The sequence below is a fragment of the Homo sapiens genome, chromosome 4 (genome assembly GCF_000001405.40).
Source record: "Homo sapiens chromosome 4, GRCh38.p14 Primary Assembly".
NCBI classification, from domain to species: Eukaryota; Metazoa; Chordata; class Mammalia; order Primates; family Hominidae; genus Homo; species Homo sapiens.
In genome coordinates this window covers 153,638,322-153,664,164 of record NC_000004.12, presented here as the reverse complement: position 1 = coordinate 153,664,164, position 25,843 = coordinate 153,638,322, and the positions used below count along the sequence as shown (strand labels likewise).

The window sequence follows — 25,843 nt, the reverse complement described above, 5'->3', positions numbered from 1 at the left end:
GCATGATCATGGCTCACTGCAGTCTTGACCTCCTGGGCTCCAGTGATCCTCCTGCCTTAACCTCCCAAGTAGCTGGGACCATAGGTGTGTGCAACCACACCCAGCTAACTTTTTTGTTTTATTGGAGACAGGGTCTCCCTATGTTTCCCAGTCTGGTCTCGAACTCCTGGGCTCAAGCAATCCTACCACCTCATCCTCCCAAAGTGCTAGGATTAGAGGCATGAGCCATCATGCCTGGCCTAGTAATTGTTTTTAAAAATAATTTTAAAATTGATTTTAATTACATTTAATCTGAAATACTTTTTCAAGATATAATTAATATTTTTAAATTAATGAGATATTTTACATTTTTTATACTAAGTCTTTGAAATCCAGTGTCTATTTTACATCTCTACTAAAACTAGCAATATTTCAGTGTTCAGTAGCCATGTGTAGCTAGTAGCTACCATTATTGAACCATAAAGAATTAGAATGATCTTTTCACAATGCAAATCTGATCACCTCACCTCGCCCCATGTTTAAGCTTTTCTGTGGCATCTAGTTGTTCTTAGGACTAGGATCCAAATGCTTAACATATTCTACAAGGCCCTCTAGGGTCTGTGGTGTGGTTTCTGCTTTCCTTTTGGTCTCTGCTCCTTCTCTCTCACCAACCACATGCCAGCCACACTAGTCCTTCAGCTTCTCAGACATGCAGAGGTTCCACCACTACTGATTCTTTGAATATATTGTTCCCTCTGTTGTGAATGCTACTTCCTACCACATTCCCTCCATCATCACCAGTACCTCCAATATCATCACCACCATCGCCTCATCATTGCCATTGACTCCACCATCATCACCACCTCCATCACCATCATCAACTCCACCATCACCACCACCTTCATCATCACCATCAACTCCACCATCACCATCACCTTATCACCACCATCAATTCCACCATCACCACCACCTCCATCATTACCATCAACTCTACCATCACCACTACCTCCATCACCATCATCAGCTCCATCACTACCACCTCATCATCACCATCAACTCCATCATCACCACCAGGACCTCCATCACCACCATCAACTCACCATCACCACCACCTCCATCATCACCATCACCACCACCATCACCATCAACTCCACCATCACCACCATCAACTCCACCATCACCACCACCACCATCCTCACCATCAACTCCACCATCACCACCACCTTATGACCATCAACTCCACCATCACCACCACCTCCATCATCACCATCAACTCCACCATCACCACCACCTCCATCATCACCATCAACTCCACCATCACCACCACCTTATGACCATCAACTCCACCATCACCACCACCTCTATCACCACCATCAACTCCACCATCACCACCACCTTTATCACCACCATCAACTCCACCATCACCACCACCTCCATCATCACCATCAACTCCACCTTCACCACCACCTTATCATCACCATCACCACCATCATCACCACTGCCTCCATCACCACCATCAACTCCACCATCACTACCACCTCCATCATCACCATCAACTCCACCATCACCACCACATCCACTAGCACCAGCACCACCTATCATAGACCACGCTCATTCTCTTCAGGCTCCCACCCAACTTCACTTCCCTCACTTTTCAGCCTAGAGATGTGATCTTTTCCTTCAAAGCATGTGGCTCAGCTGGTAGCTTTCTTCCTGCTTGTGTGATTAATGCCTGTCTCTCTCACTAGGCCATAACCAGGAATTCTGTTTGGTTTAGCTTACCATTGCCGCCTCAGTGCTTATTCTAGTACCTCATATATAGCAGTTGTTCAGTAAATACCTTTGAACAAATAAATGAGTAAATAAAAGTAATTAGGAAATACAAAACTATAAAAATGGGACATAGAAAAGAGGGTGAAGGAAGGAGAAGTCAGTAAACACTGTAGAGTTTGGCAGGTAGAATCCAGGGTAAGGTTGGGGAGTGGAAGTCAATTACTTCTATTGAGACCCTATCTTGAGCTAAGATCTCTTCTAGTTGTTTTAAGTGTGTTTGTTTAATCCTATAAGAAGTCTATGCAGCAGGTATTATCAGCATTTTAGTCAAGGAGGCTCAGAAGAGTTCACAAACTTGCCAAGTAACATAGTTAGGATCGGAACCTCCACCTGATTTCAAAGCCTACATGCCATGCATTTCACTAGATTTCCATAAACCAACTTCCCATTCTTCATAATCTTTTTATTTCATGAGAGCATAACCAAACACTCAAATAATACAAAAGGCTGAATTTTTTTGTTGTTGTTTTTAAGACAGAGTCTCGCTGTGTCACTCAGACTGGAGTGCAGTAGCATGATCTCGACTCATTGCAACCTCTGCATCCTGGGTTTAAGCGATTCTCCTGAAAAGGCTGAATTCTTTATTTTTATTTATTTTATTGTTGTTTGTTTTGTATGTGTGTGTGCATGTTCCCATTTTGTCACATGGTTTCTTCATACAAATATTGCCCAAATGCATTGCACAATTCAGGTACGATTGCCTCATATGAGAATTTTAAGCAATAACAAATCTTGCCTGAAACAATGCCATATACTATTTTAAGTCCAAGAAGGAAGTCAAACGATGATTGAGTAATGGCTCAAGTACCGGATACCACTCAAAGGACAGTTGATTTTCTTTCCTGTTTAAATGAGGTTATGCATATAATGTGCTTAACAGAATGCTTGACACAAAGAAAGAATTCAATCATTGTTAGCTAGTATCATCACCATCATCATCATCATCATCATCATCTTCATCATCATCATCCCTGACCTGTGACATAGCAAGAACTCTTCATTGGAATTTTTCATTTATTTATTGCATAATACTACAATATAGTATCTTTAAAATATGCTATACTGGCTCTAAAGCAACAGTCTCCAACCTTTTTGGCACCAGGGACCAGTTCCACAGACCGGGGAGGAGGACGAATGGTTTCGGAGGCATTAGATTCTCATAAGGAGCACACAGCCTAGATCCCTTGCATGTGCAGTTCACAATAGGGCTCATGCTCCCATGAGAATCTAATGCTGCCACTGATTTGACAGGAGGCAGAGCTCAGGCAGTAATGCTCACTTGCCTGCCTCTCATGCCCTGCTGTGCGGCCTGGTTCCTAGCAGGCCATGGACCAGTACCATGGGGTTGGGGACTCCTGCTCTAAAGGACACACTATGAATCACTGCCACAAATCAGCTTCTGGATTGTCTCAAGGCAGCCATCAACTGTGGCCCACGTGCCTCAGATCCAAGGTTATGTCCACTGATTCCTGGGGCTCAGCACGATTCAGTCATGCCCACCCTCCACATTATGGGAGCAATGTACCATGGTTTGTAAGGGCAAATGTTTTGCAGTCAGACAGACTTGGATTCAAATCTTAATTCTTCCACATGTTATCTTTATAACTGAGCAGATCTCCCAAGACTCAGTTTTCACATTTATTAAATGGAGATAATTCTTATCCAGAATATAGTACCTAGAACCTGGTTAAATGTTCAGTGCTAGCTATTATTTTCAAGAAAGGCCTTAGGATTTAAACTGTGAGAACTTAGTTCCATTTTTCAGTGGGACCAGGAAGTCTAATCACATTGTTGATGGATCAGAATGAAAATAGTGGAAACATTTGTCCTGGGGAAAAAGGAATATCATACAGTTACTTGCTCTGCTTGTAGTCAACATTTTATTTCTTGATTCAGGTGGCCACTGCCTTCAAACCACCAGAATCTGTTGAGATTAGTGATGGCCTCACCAAGTAACTAGAGAATAGCAGGAATAGTACCTCATCAACCTTGAGTATGCAAGGTTGGGTACAATGGGGTCTTAGTCTACCTTAAGTTTTCATTTGGTCAAACTGTTCAGATTGGCTTTTAGAAGCTTAGGATGATGTAACTTTTGTTTGTTGTGATAAATAACATTCCAAAGTGATTTTTAAACATTTCTGATAACATGAAACATAACAAAGGCAGTATGTATAGAGGTTATGAATAGAGATTCTGAGCCATCTTGCTAACTGCATGATTTTGAGCAAGTTATTATCTCTGTAAAATGGACTTCATAGGGTTGAAAATTTGGTGAGATGGCACATGTAAATTACCAGCAGTACCTGATGTTTGTTTGTTTGTTTGTTTGTTTGTTTGTTTTGCCATTAAGGGCCTTTTATTCATATTCATCACATCGGAGATCATCTCTTCCTAGGAAGCTTTTAAAAAATCCCCAGGTTGGATTAGGGCACTTCCTCTGGGTCCCTGGCAATTTCCTCCAGGTTAGGGATCCCAAGGGGTCTCTGCCTTCCTGGGTCTCTGGCCTGGCCCTTGGGGCACACAGTCATCAAGAAGTGCTGGGGGGAAGTGAGCTCTTTATTTAGACATAGCTCTGCTGAGTGGAAAGTGGGCACCAGCCGCATTAATGCTTGCTGGCTAGTGGCTTCCAAGCATGCCCCACTGCCAAGGCTCAGCTCTGCAGTCTGCCACTGCAGGTCTCTAGCACAGCTCCCAGGGTCCTTAAAAGTCATCATCATCACAGATGTCAAAGTACACATCGAAAGCCTCTCTGTTGCAGCTTCCATCAGGAGTGAAGACATATTTGTGGAAGGTCCCATCTACACAGATGGCAATGACAGAGTTGAATTTCTTGGAAGTATTGCGACCGAAGGAGCAGATGCAAGCTGACTCAGCAGGCACAGTGAACCTCGCCAGGCTCCACTGAGAGTCCACGTACTGCCCAATCATAGGCCCCACCTTGTCCACGGAGCCAGCGCGGAGCAGCGGTTAAGGTGGGTATCCTTGAGAGCAAAGATATGGATGGTGCCCTTATCGCTGGAAGCGCAGAGGAAGGAGGAGTCGTGGCTGAAGTTAATGCAGTAGAGGGTGGCAGGGTCAGTGCCTCGGTGCAGCTCCACCAGTTTCTCCTTGAATTGTGTGTCAAAGAGGCGAATAAGGGTACCATTCTGGGAGGCTGAGGCCACTACAGTGCCTGGCTGGTTTAGAGACACACAGGTTATGTCACTCTGATGTGCATTGATGGTGAATGGAGCAGACATGGTGCCAGGCTTTGTGCTCGCCAGGTCCACAAGTTGCAGACTCCCACACTTGTGTCCCGGGAACACTAACAGTTGCTTGTCCAGGCTGGGGCAGAGGTCACAGAGCCTGTTGGGGTTGACCCGGGTATCAAACTCAAACAGCTTTCGAGGATTGTCTGGGAAGGAGTACACATAGATGCGGTTCTTCAGCACGGTCACGATCTTGCCATGGAGCATGCACAGAGAAAGCACTGGCTTGGTGAAGATGAACTCCAGCACCAGCCTCTCCTTGGAGTCCTTGCCCTCCCGGGCATCGTCCCAGATCAGCACTGAGATCTCTGAGAACTTGGGGCTACTACCACCGCCCACCAAGGCCAGAAGGTTGCAGCGGTGCAGCATCTCCACCAAGCCTATGCTGCCACCTGCTTGTGGTCCAGATGCCCCTTCTCCATCAAGGGCTCCACGTTGTAGATGCGCACACCTGTCTCCATGGCGCAGCAAAAGCAGTTTTGGTCTTGGTTGAAACGCAGGCTGGTCACTCCTCAAAGTGGCTGTTGAGTCAAGGTCCAGGATTGTTCCCCCTGGGATCGTGCTCCAGCTTCCTGCCGCCTTCACCAGCCTGACCTCCGCGTGTCCCCGACCCAGGCCCCAGCTGTCGGTGCCGCCTGCCCGTACCTAATGCTTGTAAGTGCTAGATATGAGTTCCTTGGTAAGTAGAGCCAAATGAATAAGTATATTTGTTTTATAAAAAATGAATTCTGGTGATAGGGTCTGGGGAAAGAGCAGCAAGGTGGCAAGAAGAGACCAAGAAACAAGCCAAAGAGATGGAGGAGGAAGACAGGATTCCAAGCAGAAGCAAAAAGAGGAGCAGAAGAAACTTGAGGGGCTAAAAGCAAAGGACACAGGGAAGGGACTCCTGGCCACAAGTGGAATTAAGAAATCTGGCAAAAAGTATTATCGTAAGCAAATTAGTGCATAGACTGAAAACCAAATACCATGTGTTCTCACTTATAAGTGGGAGCTAAACTTTGTGCTCATGGCCATAAAGATGGCAATGATAGAAACTGGGGATATTAGAGCAGGGAGGAAGGAGGTTAAGGGTTGAAAAACGAAATATTGAGTAGTATGTTCAGTACCTGAGTGATGAGATTATTTGTAACACAAACCTCAACACCACACAATATATCCAGGTAACAAACCTGCTCATGTGCCCCCTGAATCTATAATAAGAGTTGAAAATAAATAAATAAGAAACCTGAGGAAAAAAAAAAGCTGTTCCTTGTGACTGAGGCAATGATGACCCTTGATTCCATTGCTATTTAAACCTCTGCATTTCCTGCCATAACATCTTTTGCCACCTATAGTTAGAATGAACTGTTGTCTTACAGCCTGCTGTACATGTAAGAGTAAACTTTTGTTTAAAAAAAATCAAAAAAGAAGAATCGAGTGGAGAAACAAAGCTGCCTGTCTATACAACAGATATGCAAAAACATTAGGCATATGAATACTAATTATAATGATAGGTTGACAAAAGTACATAATTATGGGGTGAATGACATGAAAGAGGAGTTATACGTCAGTTGACTGAGGAACTTTTAGACACTGCAGAGTTACTAAGGAAACTACAGAGTTTCAAAGCTGTATTGGCAAAGAATAAAAATTATAAGAGAAAAACAATATGAAAATTTTCCTCCACCTTTTATTTTTTTAATTTTCTTTCTTTTTTTTTTTTTTTTGAGACAGAGTCTTGCTCTTTCACCCAGGCTGGAGTGCAGTGGTGCAATCTTGGCTCACTGCAACCTCCACCTCCCAGGTTCAGGCGAGTCTCCTCCCTCCCAAGTAGCTGAGATTACAGGTGTGCACAACCATCACAACCATGCCAGGCTAATTTTTGTACTTTTTTTTTTTTTTTTTTTTTTAGTAAAGACGGAGTTTCACCATGTTGGCCAGCTGGTCTTGAACTCCTGACCTTAAGTGATCTGCCTGCCTTGGCCTCCCAAAGTGCTGGGATTACAGGCATGAGCCACCATACCTAGCTGACCTTTTGTTTAAAAGCATTTGTTTCTAAGATCATAATTCAATTGACAGGAAAATACCAGGTAATGATTGCCTCTAAGAAAATCAGTCCCTAAACTTGTCCCATCTCTAGCTCACTGAGGGCATAATCCCCAGTGTAGACCCAATATGAGATCACTGACCTTCCCTTCATTTTACTCTTGAAAAGAAAGACAGAAGTTATGAAGAAATAGTCATTCCCTGAGGGACACGCAGAGGAATAACTAGCCCAAAACTCTTTAGGGGAATTCTATGTGGAAAGTGTTTACTTGGATTAATAAGCGCCTTTGGTAAAAAGGCAATTATATGAAGTAATGTAAATATATTGGGCTGTCAGTCATTCACACTTTAATATGAATTAGATCAATCATAATGTTTTCCTCTAACCAACTAGATGAGCTCAGTGTCTCTCAGGAAATGAGACTATCGATGGCAAAAAGGGAGCAGAGGGCATTACGTAGCAGAGGTTCAGGTGGGACAGCGCAGGAGGAAGTATTTGGAAAGAAGTTGGGGATACATTTAGAAGCAGAGACCTAGAGAACAGGAAAGGGGAGGAGGGGACAGAGAAAGGGGAGAGAGGAATGCATTAATGAAAACTTTATTTCTAGGAGTGTTTTGCCTCTTTGTCAAAGGAGGGGTCGAGGCCCAATCTGCAATCTCAATAATAAATTATCACTTTTCTATCAGAGAAGAGGAGACAGGGAAAAGAAAAGGACATTCCTCTCTTTTCCAAGAATGAGGGACCGCTCTGCTGAGAAAGTTTGCTTTGGCATTGAAAGAAACACTGGAAGGTTGTTGTTCTGTTTTAAACCTCAGAAACTTGCGTAACTGGGCCAACACCAGCTGTGCCAGGAACTGGTACAGGGTAGGTCTGTCTTGCCCAGACCGTCCAGGGAATAACTACATTAAAATTCTGCTCTTGCATAATATGTTTCACAGAAATTTTAATCATAGGAAATGAAACTGACTGCTGCAAAGGACCTGAATTTCCTGTGGACACTGCCCCTGGCTAGTACATGGCCATCCCCTCCAGACTCAGAGAGGAAGGGGTGGCAGAGGGAGGATGGGAAGAAAGCAGTAACCAGCAAGCGCCTACTGGGGACCAGGCATGTGATTTCGGACAATCAATGTTTATTGTCATCAGCATGCCCTTTGGTCAGGCATGATGCTAGTTGCTGGGGTTAATGGCAAGAAAGTCCTGGTCTTTGACCTGAAGAAGCTCACAGTCTAGTGGGGAAGAAAGAAGTTGAACAAGTAATTCCAAGGGGGCAACATGAGCAGCACTGCAGGCATGAGGCAGAAGTCTCTTAGCATCCCCAGGAAATAACTCATCCTTGTTTAGCAGATGGGCCACCCAAGGCTCAGAGAGATCATTGAAGCAAGTAAGAGTGTCGTCAGGGAGTGAACATCAGACATCTCCTTCCCAAGCCTGTGTTCCTTCTACCAGCTAAGTGAAGGGCCTGCCATGTGCATGTTGCCAGGGTAAGGGAAACTGTGGCCTCCCCCTTACTAGTTGGGTAGTCTTGAGTATGTCATTCAGTGTTTCTGGGTCTGGGTTTCTTGGGAATGTTACCTTTTTAGGGGGTTGTTCAAAAGACGAGATTAGATGGCAGAGGTGAAAAGTGGTGTGACTGAAGTTGTCTGTCTGACTAAAGCTGAAGTAGTCCAAAGTCCAAACTCTGAAGCCTGGAGTCTGAAATCCAGGGTCAGGAGTCTGAAGTCTGAAGTCAGAAGTCTGGTCTGGAGTCTGAAATATGAAATCTGGTCTGGAGTCTGAAGTCTAAAATCTGAAATCTGGGTCTGGAGTCTGAAGTCTGGTCTGGAGTCTGAAGTCTGGAGTGAATCTGAAGTTCGAAGTCTGATCTGGAGTCTAAAAGTCTCCTGTTGTCTGGAGTGTGGAGTCTCTTGTCTGGATTGTGGAGTCTCTTGTCTGGAGTGTGGAGTCTGTTGTCTGGAGTGTGGAGTCTGTAGTCTGTCGTGTGGAATGTGGAGACTGGAGTGTGTTGTCTAGAGTCTGTTGTCTGAAGTGTGCGATCTGGAGTCTGGAGTCTGAAGCTGGAGTCTGAAAGTCTGTTGTGTGGCATGTGGAGTCTGTTGTCTAAAGTCTGGAGTCTGAAGTCTGGAGTCTGAGGTCTGAAGTAGTCTGACTAAAACTGAAATAGTCTTTAAACTAAAAACTATCTTTCTCGTGCTCATTGGTACTATTGTTATGCAGTTGAACACAGTGTTGGTAGAAAAGGAGAAGCAGAAAGAATGTAGATTAAACTTTGATTCCCATCTTGCCTTTCCTTCTGCTGGAGCCACTTCAGATGTTTTCTTTTTTTTTTTAATATATATATATATATATATATATATAATACTTTAAGTTGATTTCTTAATCTAAGTAGAGAGCAGCTTTAACTTGCTTTGAAAAAGCATTTTATTCTGCACAGCAAAGGAAAAAAATTAACAAAATGAAAAGAACCTATAGAGGTGGGTAAGGGGGAGGCGGGGGGATGGGTATGGTTAATGGGTACCCAAAAAATAGTTAGAAAGAATGAATAAGACCGACTATTTGATAGTACAGCAGGGTGACTATAGTCGATAATTTAATTGTACATTTTAAAATAACTAAGAGTTTAATTGTATCATAAGACAAAAGATAAATGCTTGAGGGGATTTTCTGTGACACAATTTGCCTGTATCAAAACATCTCACACACCTCATAAATATATACACCTACTATGTACCCACAAAAATTAAAACAAGATTTTAAACTTTATAGTAAAATAAAGAAAAAAAGAACCTATAGAATGGGAGAAAATTTGTAAACCTTATATATAATAAAGGGTTACTATCCAAAATACATAAAAAATTCAATTCAATAGCAAAAAAACAAATAACTGGATTTAAAGTGGGAAAATAATCTGAATAGATATTTTCCCAAAGAAGACATAAAAATGGCCAACAGGCATATAAAAATGTGCTCTACATCACTAATCATCAGGGAAATGCAAATCAAAACCACAATAAAACATCACCTCATACCTGTTAGGATGGCTAGTACCAAAAAGCCAAAAGATAAGTGTTGGCAAGGATGTGGAGAAAGGGAACTGTTATACATTATTGGCGGGAATGTAAATTGGTATAGCCATCATAGAAAACAATATGGAGTTTCCTCAAAATATTAAAACCAGAACCACCATATGATCCAGCAATCCCTCTTCTAGGCATATACCCAGGGAAAATGAAATCAATATGTCAAAGAGCTGTCTACACTCCTATGTTTATTGCAGCATTATTCACAATAGCCAAAATTTGGAATCAACGTAAGTGTCCATCAATGAATGAATGGATAAAGAAATGTGGTGTATACTACACAATGAAATAGTATTCAGCCTTAAAAAAATAAGGAAATCTTGCCATTTGCAACAACATGGATGAACCAGCAGGACATTATGCTAAGTAAAATAAGCCAGTCACAGAAAGACAAATACTGTATAATCTCACTTACATGTGGAATCTAAAAAAAGCCAGACTCATAAAAACAGAGTAGAACAGTGGTCACTAGGAATGGTGGAAATGGGGACATTGGTCAAAGGGTACAAACTTTCAGTTATAAGATAAATAAGTTCTGAAGCTCTAATGTACAGCATGGTGAGTGTATAGTAATAATATATTGCATACTTGATATACTCGAAATACTTGGTATTTGCTAAGAGTAGATCTTAAGTGTTCTCACACAATGTAACGTGAGATAATGGACATGTTTATTAGCTTGATTGTGGTAATCATTTCACAATGTATACATATATCAAAACAAGTTGTACACTTTAAATATATTAAAATTTTTGTCAGTCATACCTCAATAAGCTAAAAAATTTTTTAAAGCATTTTAATGATTGAAGAAAAATGATTGAAGAGGTAACTTGCAATAAGAGTTACTGAAGTGCTGAATGCTTCTGTACTTCAGAAGCATCACAGAAATGCAGATCATGCTGTATATGCATATATTTTATATGACTGAGTCTGCTTTCTATCTAAACATTACTCTGTTTCTATCTAAACACTACTCTGCCTAGTACTTTTTGTGTGCGCAATATCATCCTGAGCTTTGGATATTCCCAGTTTTCCAGACTTTTCTGGGCTCTGGAAAGGCACAGTCATAGCTATATTTAACTGCCCTATTATTCCTTTGGAAACACGGGCATATAAAAATAAATAAATAAAATAAGAGAGAGTCCCAGGGTCACAGAATGTGTAGCAGGAGAGATTCCAAAAGGAGGGCTGGTCTGTAGGGTAGGATCGCATGGAGAAGTGAAGAATAAGGACTTTCCAGATACCTTGATGTGAGGTGCCAGATCCCACAGGGGCTTAGAGTCACTGACTTCCTGTTTCAAGCACCCAGGAAATTGCAAAGTGACCAAGGCAAGGAAATACCCAAAGATCAGCTTCCAATTTTTGCTGGTGCAGCCTTTTCTGTCACACCACACATTGCTGTGCGTTGTTCATTGTCCAGTCATTCATCCGCTGAATTTCCATGAAGTCACTTCCATGGGCCAGATACTGTGCTAAGCAATTGCAGGGGGCGGGGAGGCGGGGGGGTAGGTATAATTCAGGAGGGGACACGAGGTGCTCGTATCAGTAATTATGCCAAAAGCAGGATGCCCAGAGGGAATGATGACTAAGGGAACTCTGAGTCCTTCCTGAGTCCCTAGGTCTCACTTCAGTGACTGAGAATGGACAAGGGCCTGCCTAGGTCTCTCCTAGCCCCTGACTACACCTGTATGTTAGGTCGGCTTGTCCCACAGGAATGACTTGAGCGAAGCAGAACAGAAGAATGTAAACATTTTGTTTTAACAACAAGGTGGGGTTATGCTACAGTTTTGTTTTCTTGGTAACAAAAGGCACAGCCGACTTCTCATCAGGCTGACTCAGGGCTGCCGGCTCATCCTGGGTTTCATATCACATCAGAGAACTCAGTGTTCCTGTCGTGTCTTGTGGGTGACCAGCTATCCCAATTTCCTCAGGACTATCCTGGTTTTAGCCCTGAAAGTCTTACTTACATCATGAGCACCTGGAGTGGCTGACCACCACCCAGCAGCATCCCCTTCTAGTAAATTCTGCAAGGCACTAGTGTGGCAAAAACATGGATTTTAGCATCAGATGGACTCGGGTTCAAATCCTTGTGTGTGCTGTGTCACTTACAAGCTGTGACATAGGGAAGTTACTCAGTATTTCAAAACACAGACACTATTCACTTCATGTACTCATTACCCGGGCCTCATCTCAGCAGGCGCCCACTTCCTTCGTGCTCATTCACTCCATGTCACTGGGCTCCACCCTCTTCCTCAAACAGGCAGAGCTCATTCTGCCACTTTGCCTTTTCTGTTTCCTCTGTCTGGAAGGCTTGAATCTTTCCGGGTGGGCCCTTTCTTGCCCTTTAGTTCTCTGCTTCACTGTTATCTCCTCAGTGAGGTCCTCTCTAAACACTCAATGAAGACTACCTCCCCAACACTCCCAGATGCTCTTCGTCTTATCCCTGTCCTATTTTCTCTCTAGCACTGAGTATGATCTGGAATTGTCTTGTTTCTTGACTGTGGGAGGCAGCCTTCTAAAACGGCTCACAATGATCCCCATTTCCTGGTATTCAAACCCTGTGTAACACCCTCCCCTTCAATGGGCCACCTAGGGACTTGTTCCTAACAAATAGGATATGGTATAGTGATGGGATGTCACTTCAAGATTGGTCATAAAGGACCATGACTCTTGTTTTACCGGCACTCTCCCTCTCGTTCTCTCTCTCTCTCTGGCTCTTGCTTGCTTGCTTACTCTGATGAAGCAAGCTGCCCTATTGTGAGCTGCCCTAACAGAGAGGTGCATGTGGCCAGGATTGGCAGTAGCCTGTAGCCAACACAGCAAGAAATGGAATCCTGCCAACAACCACATGAATGACTTTGAAAGCCAATTCTCCCCTAGTTGAGCCTTGAGATGAGTGCGGCCTGTGAGAGACCCTGAAGCAGAGGACCTGCTAAAGCATGCCCCAACTCCTAACCCACAAACACAGTAAAATAGTAAATGTCATTATTGTAAGTCACTAAGTTTTGGGGTAATTTGCTACGCAATAATGGATAGCTAATATATTGATGTATTATTTATTCCCCCTCTAGAATACTAGCACCATGATAGAAGGTACCTTCCCCATTTGGTTCACTTTGGTATGCCCAGAGCCAAAAACAAAGTCTGGCACATAGTAGGTGCTCAATTTCACTGAATGAGAAAATCATGAGGGCACAGGCTGCACACAGGCCATGTAAGGACAGATGAAAAAAATATTTATTGAATGAATGAGTGATTTTGAGACAATTAAATATGAGAAGGGTAGGGAAAAAAGAGAGTATCTGAGCTTAATTTTAACCATTGCTATGGTTTGAATGTGTCCTCCCAAAAATTTGTGTTGAAAACTTAATCCCCATTGTAACAGTGTTGAGAGGTGGGAACTTTAAGAGGTGATTATATGGATTAATGAATTAATGTCATTATCATAAAGTGGGTTAGTTATCACAGGAGTGGGCGCCTTATAAAAAGGATGAATTTTACCCAATTTTCTCTCTGTCTTGTGCACTTGCTTCCACCTTCTGTCCTTCCCCGCTTCTGCCATGGGACGACCCACACTAGATGCCGGTGGTGCCATGCTCTTGGACTTCCTAGCCTCCAGAACCATGAGCTAAATAAACTTCTTTTCTTTATAAACTACCCAGTCCATGGTATTCTGTTATAGCAACAGAAAATAAACTAAGACAATTATCAAGTGGTTAGACCCCTACTGTGGGCTCAAAAGATGTTGAAAAAGTTAATGAAATGAAAAATGAAAAAAATGAGGTATAGGTTAGAAATGATAAGGATGGTGTTGTCACATTGAGTGTGAAATGCCAGTAAAACATCTCATAAGCATTCATAAATAAGTCTAGCTTTTCACAGAATATTAAATGAGAAAAGGAGTTCCTAGAATAGTGTATATATTCCATTTTTGTAAAAGCACACACATAAACACAAGTCTGGAAGGAGATACAGTCATGCAACTCCTGATGACACTTTGGCCAACAATGGACCACAGATACAACAGTTGTTCCATAAGATCATAACAAAACTGAAAAATTCCTATCACCTAATGATGTCATAGCCATCAGAACGTTGTAGCACAATGCATTGCTCATGTTTGTGGTGACGCTGTACGTAAACAATCCTACTGCACTGCCAGTCTTACAATAGTATAGCATATATATTTATGTATAGTACATAACACTTAATCATAATAGACTATTACTGGGTTTATGTATTTACATACTTTTTATTGTTAGAGTGTACTCCTACTTATTTTTTTTAAGTTAACTCTAAAATAGCCTCAGGCAGTTCCTTGAGGAGGTACTCCAGAAGAGGGCACTGTTATCATAGGAGATGACAGCTCCGTGCGTGTTATTGCCCCTGAACACCTTCGAGCAGGATAAGATGTGGAGGTGGAAGACAGTGATATTGATGATCCTGACCCTGTGTAGACCCAGGCTAATGTGTATATTTGTGTCTTTGTTTTTAACAAAAAAAAATTAAAAGTAAAAATAATTTTTTAATGAAAAAAGCTTATAGAGTAAGGATATTTAAAAAGAAAATATTTTTGTCCAGCTGTACGTGAGTTTGTGTTTTAAGCTAAATGTTGCTTAAAAACAATCTAAAAGTTGTTAAAAGTTAAAAAGTTCATAAAGTAACAAATTACAGTAAGCTAAGTTTAATTTCCTATTAAAGAAAAATATTTTTTATAAATTTAGTGTGCCTAAGTGTAGTGCTTACGAATTGTACAGTAGTGTGCAGCCGTGTCCTAGGCCTTCACATCCATTTACCACTCACTGACTCACCCAGAGCAACTTCCAGTCCTGCAAGCTCTATTCATGGTAGGTGCCCTACACGGGTACCTACCATTTTTTATCTTTTATATTGCATTTTTACTGTACCTTTTTATGTTTTGATATATTTAAATAAACAAATGATTCCCATTGTGTTACAATTTCCTGCCTTATTCAGTACAGTAACATGCTATACAGGTTTGCAGACTAGGAGCACTCAGCTATACCATATATCACAGGTGTGTAGTCAGCTATACAATCTGGGTTTGTGTAAGTACTCTATGATATCTGTACAGTGATGAAGTCACCTAATAAAACATTTCTCAAAATATATCCCCACCATTAAGCAACACATGGCTGTATACCAAACTAAGTGCTTCTTCGTAGTGCAATTACAGTGTTTTTAAATTATTTCCTTTTGGTTTTCAATATTTTCTACAATTGAAAGAACAAACAATATAGGAATTTCCACTTATTCTTAAAAATCAGAGAAAAAACCCATGATGGATGGAAGAGTCAGTATCACAGAAGAAGTCACTGACAAGGAGGAGGTAACCCAGTGAGAGGGAGAATGAGAGAGAGGACAGTGGTTGTTGAGAGCAAAGCCCTAGTGTCATTTCTAAAGCAAAATTTCTGGCTGGATAGGAGAAACAGCATTTGGTCTTGACCATCAATGGCATGCCAACTCCCAGGCTGCCAAGCTCACTCTACCTCATCCTGACAGCTCTCTTTTTCTGAAACATTTATCAGACCTGCCTTTCGAATCCATTTCCTGCCAGCACGCCAGCCCAGCCTTTATTTTTCTCACACTTGCATTTCTACTGCCTCCTGCTAGCATCCAGCTTTCCCAGTGCTTTGAGGCTGTCTCATGCTCAAAAGCTAGAATAACATCCCCTGGTTTTTTTGAACATCCTTCTCATCTTAGCCCCTGCATAAAATCATGAGCTGCAAGACTGCCTCAGCCTTTATCACATCTCCCAACACAACCTGATTGACACTTTCACTTCCCACTGGGAAGCCAGCATTTTACCTCCAAGATAACCACCACGTGTTTCACCAAGTTTTGCTTCAGAATTAAGCCGATGATGAGCCCTTTCATGGCTACACAGATTTCAGGCTTACCAGTTACTCTGGCAAACTATTTTTGAATAGCCGTCCAGCAGTTCACATGTATTTGTTCCTATTATCTTACGTTTTATTTTCTCTGAAATAAAAGCAAAAATAGGCAGTACACACCATGTTTGTAAAGCCAGCTTACTAGGATCCTAGTACTCTCCAGTAGCTGTGCTACAAATCTAGTTTCCCTAATAATGAAAGCATGGAAGACCAAGTGCCGGGTACTACAGTGAATTGGCACTCACTTTTGAAGAACACCCAACAGATAGCCAAAGTGGTGGAGCTTCAAGTCAGGCTTCTTTCTGCTGGGACTGCAGAGCTACTTTCTCTAGAATGAGGACCAGGTCCTACCTGCAGCTCTGAAGTTTAGAGAACAGAGTCTTTCCAACTGGATAAAAAATAAAGGAAAGCTTCTCCAAAATTGTATAGGTGTGTTTAAACATAAGTAGCACTCAGCAGTATGCCTATAATTTCTTTTCAGGACACATAGAAGCTTCCATTTCCCAGCCTCCTTCCCCCTTGAGTGGGACCACACGACCATTTCAGGCCAATGTGCTGTAAGCAGAAGAGAGGTACTGTGTATCACCACTGGGCCAAGCATAGAATAGGTGGGCTGCATACTCCTCGTGCTTTCTGCTGTAGTTGAAAACAGGGAGACCTCTTGTCTCCCTGTGATGCCACAGTCACAAGAGTCAAGTGACCTGAATTGCTGATTCACACCAGGGGACAGTTGCCCTGGACCATCATCTGTGCCTGTTAAGGGAATAAGTTGTTACTACAGCATAACCTAGTGCCATAGTTTGAATGTGTCTCCCAGATATTCATGTGTTAGAGACTGAATCCCAAATGCAACAGCACTGGGAAGTGAGGTCTAATGGGAGGTGTTTAGGCCATGAGGGCTCCGCCCTTAAGAATAGATTAATGCCATTATGAAAAGCACTCTCTGGAATGGGTTCTCTCTCTTGTGCTCTTGCCCTTCTGCCTTCTGCCATGTGATGAGACAGCAAGAAGGCCCTCACCAGATGAGAGTGCCTTGATCTTGGACTTCTCAGTCTCCAGAACTGCAAGAAAATTTCTGTTTTTTAGAAGTTAGTCAGTCTGTGGTATTCTGTTATAGCAGCACAAAATGAACTAAGACATCTAGCTTATCCCAGCAAATACAAAAGCAATTCTGGGTTTTTCAATCAACAACTTGACCCATTATTTTGACCTAGTGATTTTTTTTAACAATGAAATAAGGTAGGCAAACAAGTTATTGTCTTCTCTTTATTAGCACTATAGATCTAGAATACACAATGAACTTGGGAACCTGGCCTAACCCAGTACTACTATTTCTTTGGTTGCAGGAATTTGTTTTAATATTGAATTATAGAATGAATGGTCATATTTCACCCCACTCTTATAGCCTACTCAATCCCAAAGTCACAGTGCTGAGTCTGTTACTTCAATCATTTTGAGGTTTTAAATAAATTCTATATCTATAGTGAATGAACAAACATCTAATTAGCTAGATGAAAGGATACTGGTTAAAGTTTTTGTTTTCTGTTTTGCTTTTAGTTTCTAAAGTAATAGCTTTCCTTTAAAAATAACTGCTTGAAATCCAAATACATTCCATCTTACTGACTTCCTCTCTGTACTCCAGCAGAAGTATTAAATTGCTCAAATGTCTAGGGCACACAGAAATAATTATTTTGAAATGTCAGTTTTCGTTTCCATAAATATATGTATTTTAATAAGGCTGTATTTTAATGGTGACTTTTATAGTACTTGCCCACCATTTTGATTAATGGTAACTAGACTGTTGTGCATTTTGTATATTGGCTATACTTGTATGTAAAGACATTCTTATGTCCCTTTAATCCCAGCCCAAGTAATTACTACATACCTCATTTTATAGGTCTTCTATTAGGGAATGCTTACTGAAAGTTTCCCTTTGCCTTTGCCTTTAGATTATGTCCTTTTATAGTATAATGTACATTTTATCAGGACTTTAGCATTTGCTTTTAAGATACTTACTTTTTACCACTATTAAATAAAATACACTTTCCCTTAAGATTTAATTAAAAGTTTTGGGGGAGATGGATGTGATAGTAGTAACACATGCTTACAGCAGACAGTACCCCCCCTCCCCAGAAAAGAAAGATAAAAAAAAAAAGAAAATGAAAATCACTCAAAATTCTACACACCCAGTGGGGCATCACCCCACCCCACATGCAGTACAGGATCACACTGTTTATAAACTTTGTATTCTACTTCTTTCATCGCCTATGTTATTCTCTTACAATGATTTTTAGAGGCTTCCTAGTACTCCAACATTTGTTTGTTCTATAACTTAAGTATTTTCCTGTTTTGGAACATTTATTTCCAACTCATTACTATTTTAAACACTGTACTGTATATGCTCTTACATCATTTGTAATAGGCAGAATTATAATTCCTGCCCCAAAGGGGTCCACATCCTAATACCTGGAACCCCTGAATATGTGACTCTACATAATAAAATATGTGATTAAATTAAGAACCTTAAGATGGGCCCAGTCTAATCACAGGAGTCCTTAAAATAAGTGAACCTTTCCCAGCTGTGGTCAGAGAAAAGGATGTGAGATGGAAGAAAGGTCAGGGAGATGCTGCGTTCCTGGCTCTGACAACAGAGGAAGAGGCCACAAGCCAAGGAATGTGGATGGCCTCTAGGAGCTAGAAAAGGCCAGGACAGAAACAGACTGCCCCCTAGAGCCTCCAGAAAGGAATGCAGCCCTGCCACAGCTTGATTTTAGCCCAGGGAGATAGGTGTCAGATTTCTGATATACAAAACTAAGTTTGTGTTGTTTTAAGCCACTAAGTTTGTGAGAATTTTTTATGGTAGCAATAGAAAATTAATACCTTGTTTTTGTTTTTTAATTTGGTCATTCTTGAAATCAAAGAGAAACCTTCATTTTCAACAAAACTGCCTAGAAAAGATGGTTCATTGATCCACTATGAGCAAATCTTTCACAACATACAGCACCAAAATATAAATTTAAAAAATTAAACACACATCCTACCCCTCACACACACACATATCTCCCAAAGGCCACATGACCTAGATGAAAGGAGAAAAAAAAGCAAACTCAATACCCTCACACAAAAGTAGTCTTTGAATCAGGATTTATAAATGTATATGTTTTTTCCTATGAGTAAAGCAAACAGAAGAAAAACAAAAAATCAAAGGAGGTTGGGCACATAGCTCAAGCCTGTAATCCCAGCACTTTGGGAGGCCAAGGCAGGAGAATCACTCGAGCCCAGGAGTTCAAGACCAACCTAGGCAACAAAGTGAGACCCCATGTCTCTACAGTAAGAATACAAAAATTAGCCGAGTATGGTGGTGCATGCCTGTAGTCCTAGCTACTCAGAGGCTGAGGTGGGAAGATCACTTGAGCCCAGGAATTTGAGACCAGCCTAGGCAATATAGTAAGACTCTGTCTCTATAAGAAATAAGGAATTAGCTGGGTGTGGTGGCACATTCTTGTGATCCCAGCTACTTGGGAGGCTGAGGTGGGAGGATTACTCGAGCCCTGGAGGTTGAGTCTGCAGTGAGCCAAAATTGTGCTGCTGCACTCCAGCCTAGGCAACAGAGTGAGACCCTGTCCTTTAAAAAAAAAAAAAGCTGGGCTGAGGGGGCCCACCAAAGGGGTAAGGAAAAACTTATAGATGAAGGCCTCACAAGACTTAATACATAGACAGCATCACTGTGCATTATCTCAGACTTTTTCACAAGGTATTCAATCCTGCCTGTCATTCTTTATATTCAGGAAATACTAAAGTAAGAAAAGTGATTTTTTCTTTTCTTTTCTTTTTTTTTTGAGATGGAGTCTCACTCTGTCACCCAAGCTGGAGTGCAATGGCGCAATCTTGGCCAACTGCAACCTCTGCCTTCCGGGTTGAAGCAATTCTCCTGCTTCAGCTTCCCGAGTAGCTGGGATTACAGGCATGCACCACCACAGCCAGCTAAGTTTTGTATTTTAGTACAGACGAGGTTTCACTATGTTGTCCAGGAGGGTCTCAAACTCCTGACCTCAAGTGATCTGCCCGCCTTAGCCTCCCAAAGTGCTGGAATTACAAGCGTGAGCCACCATGCCTGGTCGATTAACTTTTAATAGACCATGCATTTAGGTTAATTATTTCTCTGGTTAAAAGCACTCCACAAAAATAGAGTTAGAAATAAATTTTAAAAGGAGGTGTATTTCTTTTTCTTGTTTGATAATATTTTATTGATTATAATGTTTTCTTGGTTTTTGCTTGTCTTTTATATAGAATAAACAGTTTAGCTTGGACTTGTGTAATAACATAATAAAATGTAAAAATTGACGCTATTAAAGGACTTAAACAATAAAATGATGGAAAGTAGTAGGTAGATTCTGCATGATAAGAAGCATATCCACAGCTCTGAATAGCTGAGCAAGTCTACAGGACTTTTCCTATGTTCATATTAATCACTAGGGGGCAACATAGACTATACCTTTAATAATCACATATCACAGTCAGATTGCGGATACAGGAAGTGAAAGCAGAGACATGAGTGGCAGAAGTCAGGAAGATAAAAGCTGCAACTAAAATCATCAGTTAATTTTGTGAACTGCATGAAACCATCAGTAACCAGTTATTTTAGTAGGATAACCTACTGAGTGAAGTCTTAGGAGCTTTCTCTTTTTATTTTTTATTTATATTTTTTTGTAGAGACAAAGTCTCCCTATGTTGCCCAGGCTGGTCTCCAACTCCTGGCCTCAAGCAATCCTCCCACCTCACCCTCTCAAGTAAAAGATTTTTCTTTTAATTTTTGAAGGAAATCAAGTAGACATGATCATTGTGCTCTGAAAGTCATGCACAGAATCATGTAGCGCATTAAAAAGTCATGAAAAATGGAATCCTTTTTTTTTTTTATCAAGCATACCTATCAATTACACATCAGTACAATCACTTTTTTTCTGTCCAGAGTGCCCAATCAATGTATCAATGTGGCCTTGTTTTAGTTTCCTTTTTTTTTTTTTTTTTTTTTTTAAAGAGATAGGGTCTCACTTTGTTGCCCAGACTGGTCTCAAACTCCTGGCCTCAAGTTATCCTCCCACCATGGCCTCCCAAATCACTGGAATTATAGGTGTGAGCTACCGCACAGCCAGTTTTGTTCTTTACATTGTATAATATACATGACATGAGTCATGTCATCCTTGCTCAGCTTCAAAAAACATGAAGGAAGCTTCCAAATGGGGAAAGAGCCAGTAATGGAGGGAAAATAAAACACCACCTTAGGAATTGTGTTTTTGATTTTCATACTTACTAGTAATTTTTTAAATATGTTTATATCTACCCAATGTTTTGGTTGTATGTGTTTTAATTATTAAATGCTATAAATCTATTTTGGGAGAAAGTTAGTTACAATAATGAATGCATTTAAAAAAACACTAATACCTAATTGTTGTGCATATCTTTTGCTATTTTCCTTAGAAGTTACTTCCTGGAAGTTCTTAAGGTGCATGACATATATGGCCAACCAATTTATAATCCCATCCCACAATGTATAAAAGTGCCTGCCTCACTTGCCCCCACCAGTACTGAGGCCCAATTTTATATTTTTCCTGTTGTTTCATGTTCTTTCATTTAAATTGACCATAGCAATTTTATGGAACAATAATGTTACCGAAACACCAGTTCAGTCTAGGCCCCATTGCTCACCAGAGAGGCAATCGCTAAGATGACAAGCGTTGCCAGGGAAGAAGCCTTTATTGCATTACGGGTGATGTCAGCCGAAGAAACAGAAGCCAAACCTCCAATCCGTTCCTTCCCCAAGCCTAAAGTTAAGGATTTATATAGCAAGGAAGGAAAACAGGCGGGGCAAGGGAGCAGACAGTTGAATGAGGAGTCTAGTGTCTCATTGTAACCACTGTGGGGAAATGGGAATTAGAGAGGGGTAAGGAAGAGGAGTCGGTCAGCAGGTAGCAGTGCGTTTCACTGTAAGTTCTCAAGCTTCAGTTCTATGGGCACCCCGCTTGTGGGAAAATTTGGTCAGTTTCAATAAGAGTAGTCAATTAGGGGTGCTATGTGCCAAACACCATCCAAACGCTAATTCATTAAACTTCACAACTGCATGAGGTATGTTGCTATTATCATCCCCGTTTTACAGAAGAGGAAACTGAGGCACGGAGAGGTTAAGTATGTGGTGAAGCTGGAGTTAGAATCCAGGCAGCCTGGCCCCAAAGAATATGCTGTTTAATGGAGCCTCTACTAAAATGGAAAGTTCTAGAAACCAGCAGTGGTTTTTCTCCCCGCCTCCTTTATTACTCAGGTGGTTCTCATTTCCCCCAGCATGAGCATAATCCAGTGTGTAATAATCATCACGTGGATGTCTATACATGGTGACTGGTGTGTGAAAGTTCACATTGTAAGGACTGTAGTCCTGTCTTTGCCTGTGGTACTTCGTCTCACAACCATAGGATAATTGAAATATTCTCTAGTAATTAAAACTCACTTCTGGCCGGGCAAGGTGGCTCACGCCCGTAATCCCAACACTCTGAGAGGGTGAGGAGGGCAGATCACTTGAGCCCAGGAGTTCAAGACCAGCCTGGCAACATGGCAAAACCCCGTCTCTACAAAAAATACAGAAATAAAAAATTAGCCGGACGTGATGGCTTGCACCTGTAATCCCAGCTACTTGGGAGGCTGAGATGGGAAGATCACTTAAGCCCAGGAGTTGGAGGCTGCAGTGAGCCATGATCACACCACTACACTCCACCCTGGGCAACAGAGTGAGACTCTGTCTCAGAAAAAACGACTCGTTTCTTTAACCACTGGGTAATTGTATCCTTCCCCATACTTTTTCCTTCACACACACTACTGTACACCAGATACCACCATGAGTACTAGAGACAACACTCAGACAAGCAGACAAGGCTGTATTAGTTGTGATACTGCAACACAGATCCCCAACAGTAGTTCAAACAAGACAATCTATTTCTCTTCCATTTCACAGTCCCCGGGGCAGGAGCCCAGGGCTTAGAATGGCAAGGGCCTCTCTGGTTTAGAAGGCCCAGGTACTTACCTTGTTGCTCTTCTCTAACCTGGAGCAGGGGTCGGCAAACTTTCTGTAAAGGGCCAGAGAGTAATTATTTTAGGCTGTGCCTGCCAAAACTCTGTATTTGCAGGTAACTGAGTGTTTGTGTTCTAATACAATTTTATTCAAAAAGCAGGCCACAGGCCATAATCTGCTGATCCTTCCCCTATAGCAGTGCTCCTTAGGCTTTGATGTGCATACAAATCACCTGAGGAACTTGACGAAATGAGAATTCAGGTGCAGTAAATCTGCATTTCTAACAAGCCCTGGGATGAAGTCAAAGCAGTGGACAGACCACTCTTTTAGCAAGGCCCTAGTGTGCTGTCCTCATCAGCCCCCAGTCTACTGAGTATTTCTCCCAGTGGATAGAGGGAAAGGGAAGGGCACACCCCTTCCTTAGAGTTGACCTATCACTTCTGCTCACATGCAACGCAGTCCCACCTGGGTACAGGGGAGGCAGAAAAATAGTCTGCAAGCTGAGAAGCAGGCACGCAGCTAAAGCGTCTCTTCCCATCATGAAACCCACCTGCTCACATTCTTGTCCACACACATTCCAAAGGGCGAAGCGTTCCTGCTCCAGTTCATGCTTAGACCTAAGCTTGAGCCTTGGTTCCTGGCGCCTAGCAGTCTCCTACTGCCAGCTTCACATCCCCTCCGGCGACTGACCTTTTCAGCTCCCCTTTACAGTTGGCCGCCTCTGCATCCATCTCACCTTCTGTCCTCTCTTCCACTTACTCTAGCTGGGCTGGCTGCAAGGACGCCAGCCGCCGACACCACCCCAGCATGCACACCCGCTCCTTGTCCACGTGACTCAGTCTGTGGCACCGACACATGTGACCTCTCCCTCCCCTTCATGGCTTCTGCTCCCTCATCAGCGAGCCTTCCTTCCTAATTCCCGCAGCTGCCTCTCCTGCCCCGCCTCTCAACACTGGGCCCCCAAATGCTCCTCCCCAAGAGGCTCCCTCCCACCCTCGCTTTAGACACTGTCAACAGACCAAAGGCGCCCCATTGATGTCTCCAGCCCGGAACTTCACAGAGCTTCAGGTTTGTGGGTGGACTGCCTGACTGCCTATCCACATGGATATGCTGGGCCTTTCACACGGAACATGTCCAGCCACAATTCTCCATCCCCTGCCTCCCACCAGATCCTAACCATAAGAGCTTCCTCTCAGTCCGGGACCCAGGTCTCAAGGCCCAACCAGAATTTCTTGCCTTCCTACTCCCCGTCAACCCCACCCCGCCAGCCTGAATGTGCACATATAACAAGCCCAACCTCCATCATCTCCACAGTTGCAGCTGACCTTGATTTGGTGTTACGTTACTCCTGAACTCCCAGAATCCTTTCTCCACTCAACCGCCAGCTGATTTTCAAAAAATTTAAGTCAGATAACGTTCTTTCTCACTTAAAAAGCTCCAATGGGCTGGGCTCAATAGCTCACACCTGTAATCCCAGCACTTTGGGAGGCCAAGGCGGGCTGATCGCTTGAGGCCAGGAGTTCAAGACCAGCCTGAACAACTTGGTAAAACCCAGTCTCTTAGCTGGGCATGGTTGGTGCACACCTGTAGTCCCAGCTATTCTCAGGGTCTGAGGTGGAAAGATCGTTTGAGCCCAGGAGCTCAAGGATGCAGTGAGCCATGATTGTGCCACTGCACTCCAGCCTGGGTGACAGTGTGAGATCCTGTCTCAAAAAATAGAAAATGCTCCAATGGCTCCTAATTGCACTTTGAGTAAAACCTATCCTCTTTTTGGTGGCTACAAGGCTTTATAAAGGTGGCCTCTGCCTGCCTGTTCAGCCTCACCTCCTTCCACTGTGGCCTCCTGCCTCAGGACCTTTGCACTTGCTGTTTGCTCTGCAGGGAAGATTTGCCCAGGGATCTTGGCACACTGCCTTTTTTTTTTTTTTTTTTTTTTGAGATAGTCTTGCTCTGTCGCCCGGGGTGGAGTGCAGTGTTGCTGTTTCGGCTCACTGCAACATCTGCCTCCTGGGTTCAAGCAATTCTCCTGCCTCAGCCTCCCGAGTAGCTGAGATTACAGGTGCCTGCCACCACGCCCAGCTGATTTCTGAATTTTTAGTAGAGAAAGGGTTTCACCATGTTGGCCAGGCTGGTCTCAAACTCCTGACCTCAGGTGATCTGTGCGCCTTGCCCTCCCCAAAGTGCTGGGATTACAGGCGTGAACCACCATGCCTGGCCTCTGGCTTTCTTCTTATTCAAGTTTTACCTCAAATGTACCTCTTCACAAACTTTCCCCGACCACTCAGAAGGACCGGCTGCCACCTCCCCCAGTTCGTCACATCACCATTTTGTTGCTCTCACAGCACACATCAGTACCTGAAATATTGTTTGAACCTTTTCCTCCCTAACCTTCCCCTTCTGGAATGTGACCTGGCAGCAGGACCGTGTCTGTCTTGCTCTCTGCTGTATCCAAGGTCCCGGGGACAGCTCCTAGGAGGTACCCAGTAAATGTTTTTCAATAAAAAAACTTCCAGTTTCCGTATTTAGTCTTAGGGCTAAAGATAATATTCCAATAAAAGTGGGTATTTGTGTTTTCCTTTGTATATATAGTGCAATAAAATCTTATTTTGCTTTCTCATATTTTCCTGATAGGGAAATGAGGATCGATGAACGTAGAAAAATAAATTAGAACAATAGCACCGAAGCAGAATAACATCTAATGTCTCATT

The 25,843-nt window shown here is 42.4% G+C and overlaps 2 pseudogenes across 1 annotated transcript in view, besides 2 other annotated features; both read right to left on the bottom strand.

The window, feature by feature from the left end:
• Nucleotides 1–23,997, bottom strand: part of LOC100419170 (toll like receptor 2 pseudogene) — a 41,019-nt pseudogene extending 17,022 nt beyond the window's left edge. The window contains exons 1-2 of the transcript NR_134873.1: nucleotides 23,686–23,997; nucleotides 23,148–23,190 (exon numbers count right to left, since the gene is read on the bottom strand). The product of NR_134873.1 is annotated as a toll like receptor 2 pseudogene (transcript). The remainder of the gene's footprint in view (nucleotides 1–23,147; nucleotides 23,191–23,685) is intronic.
• WDR45P1 (WD repeat domain 45 pseudogene 1) lies at nucleotides 4,153–5,699 on the bottom strand (annotated as a pseudogene).
• Nucleotides 20,481–20,550: a silencer, noted in NCBI's record as "silent region_15765". NCBI's record gives its function as "represses an Ori minimal core promoter by ATAC-STARR-seq in GM12878 lymphoblastoid cells {active_cell/tissue: GM12878}" and the evidence as "EXISTENCE:reporter gene assay evidence [ECO:0000049][PMID:35858748]".
• Nucleotides 23,433–23,932: an enhancer, noted in NCBI's record as "H3K4me1 hESC enhancer chr4:154561385-154561884 (GRCh37/hg19 assembly coordinates)". NCBI's record gives its function as "activates a minimal SCP1, AML or CMV promoter by ChIP-STARR-seq in primed H9 embryonic stem cells {active_cell/tissue: H9 hESC(primed)}" and the evidence as "EXISTENCE:reporter gene assay evidence [ECO:0000049][PMID:30033119]".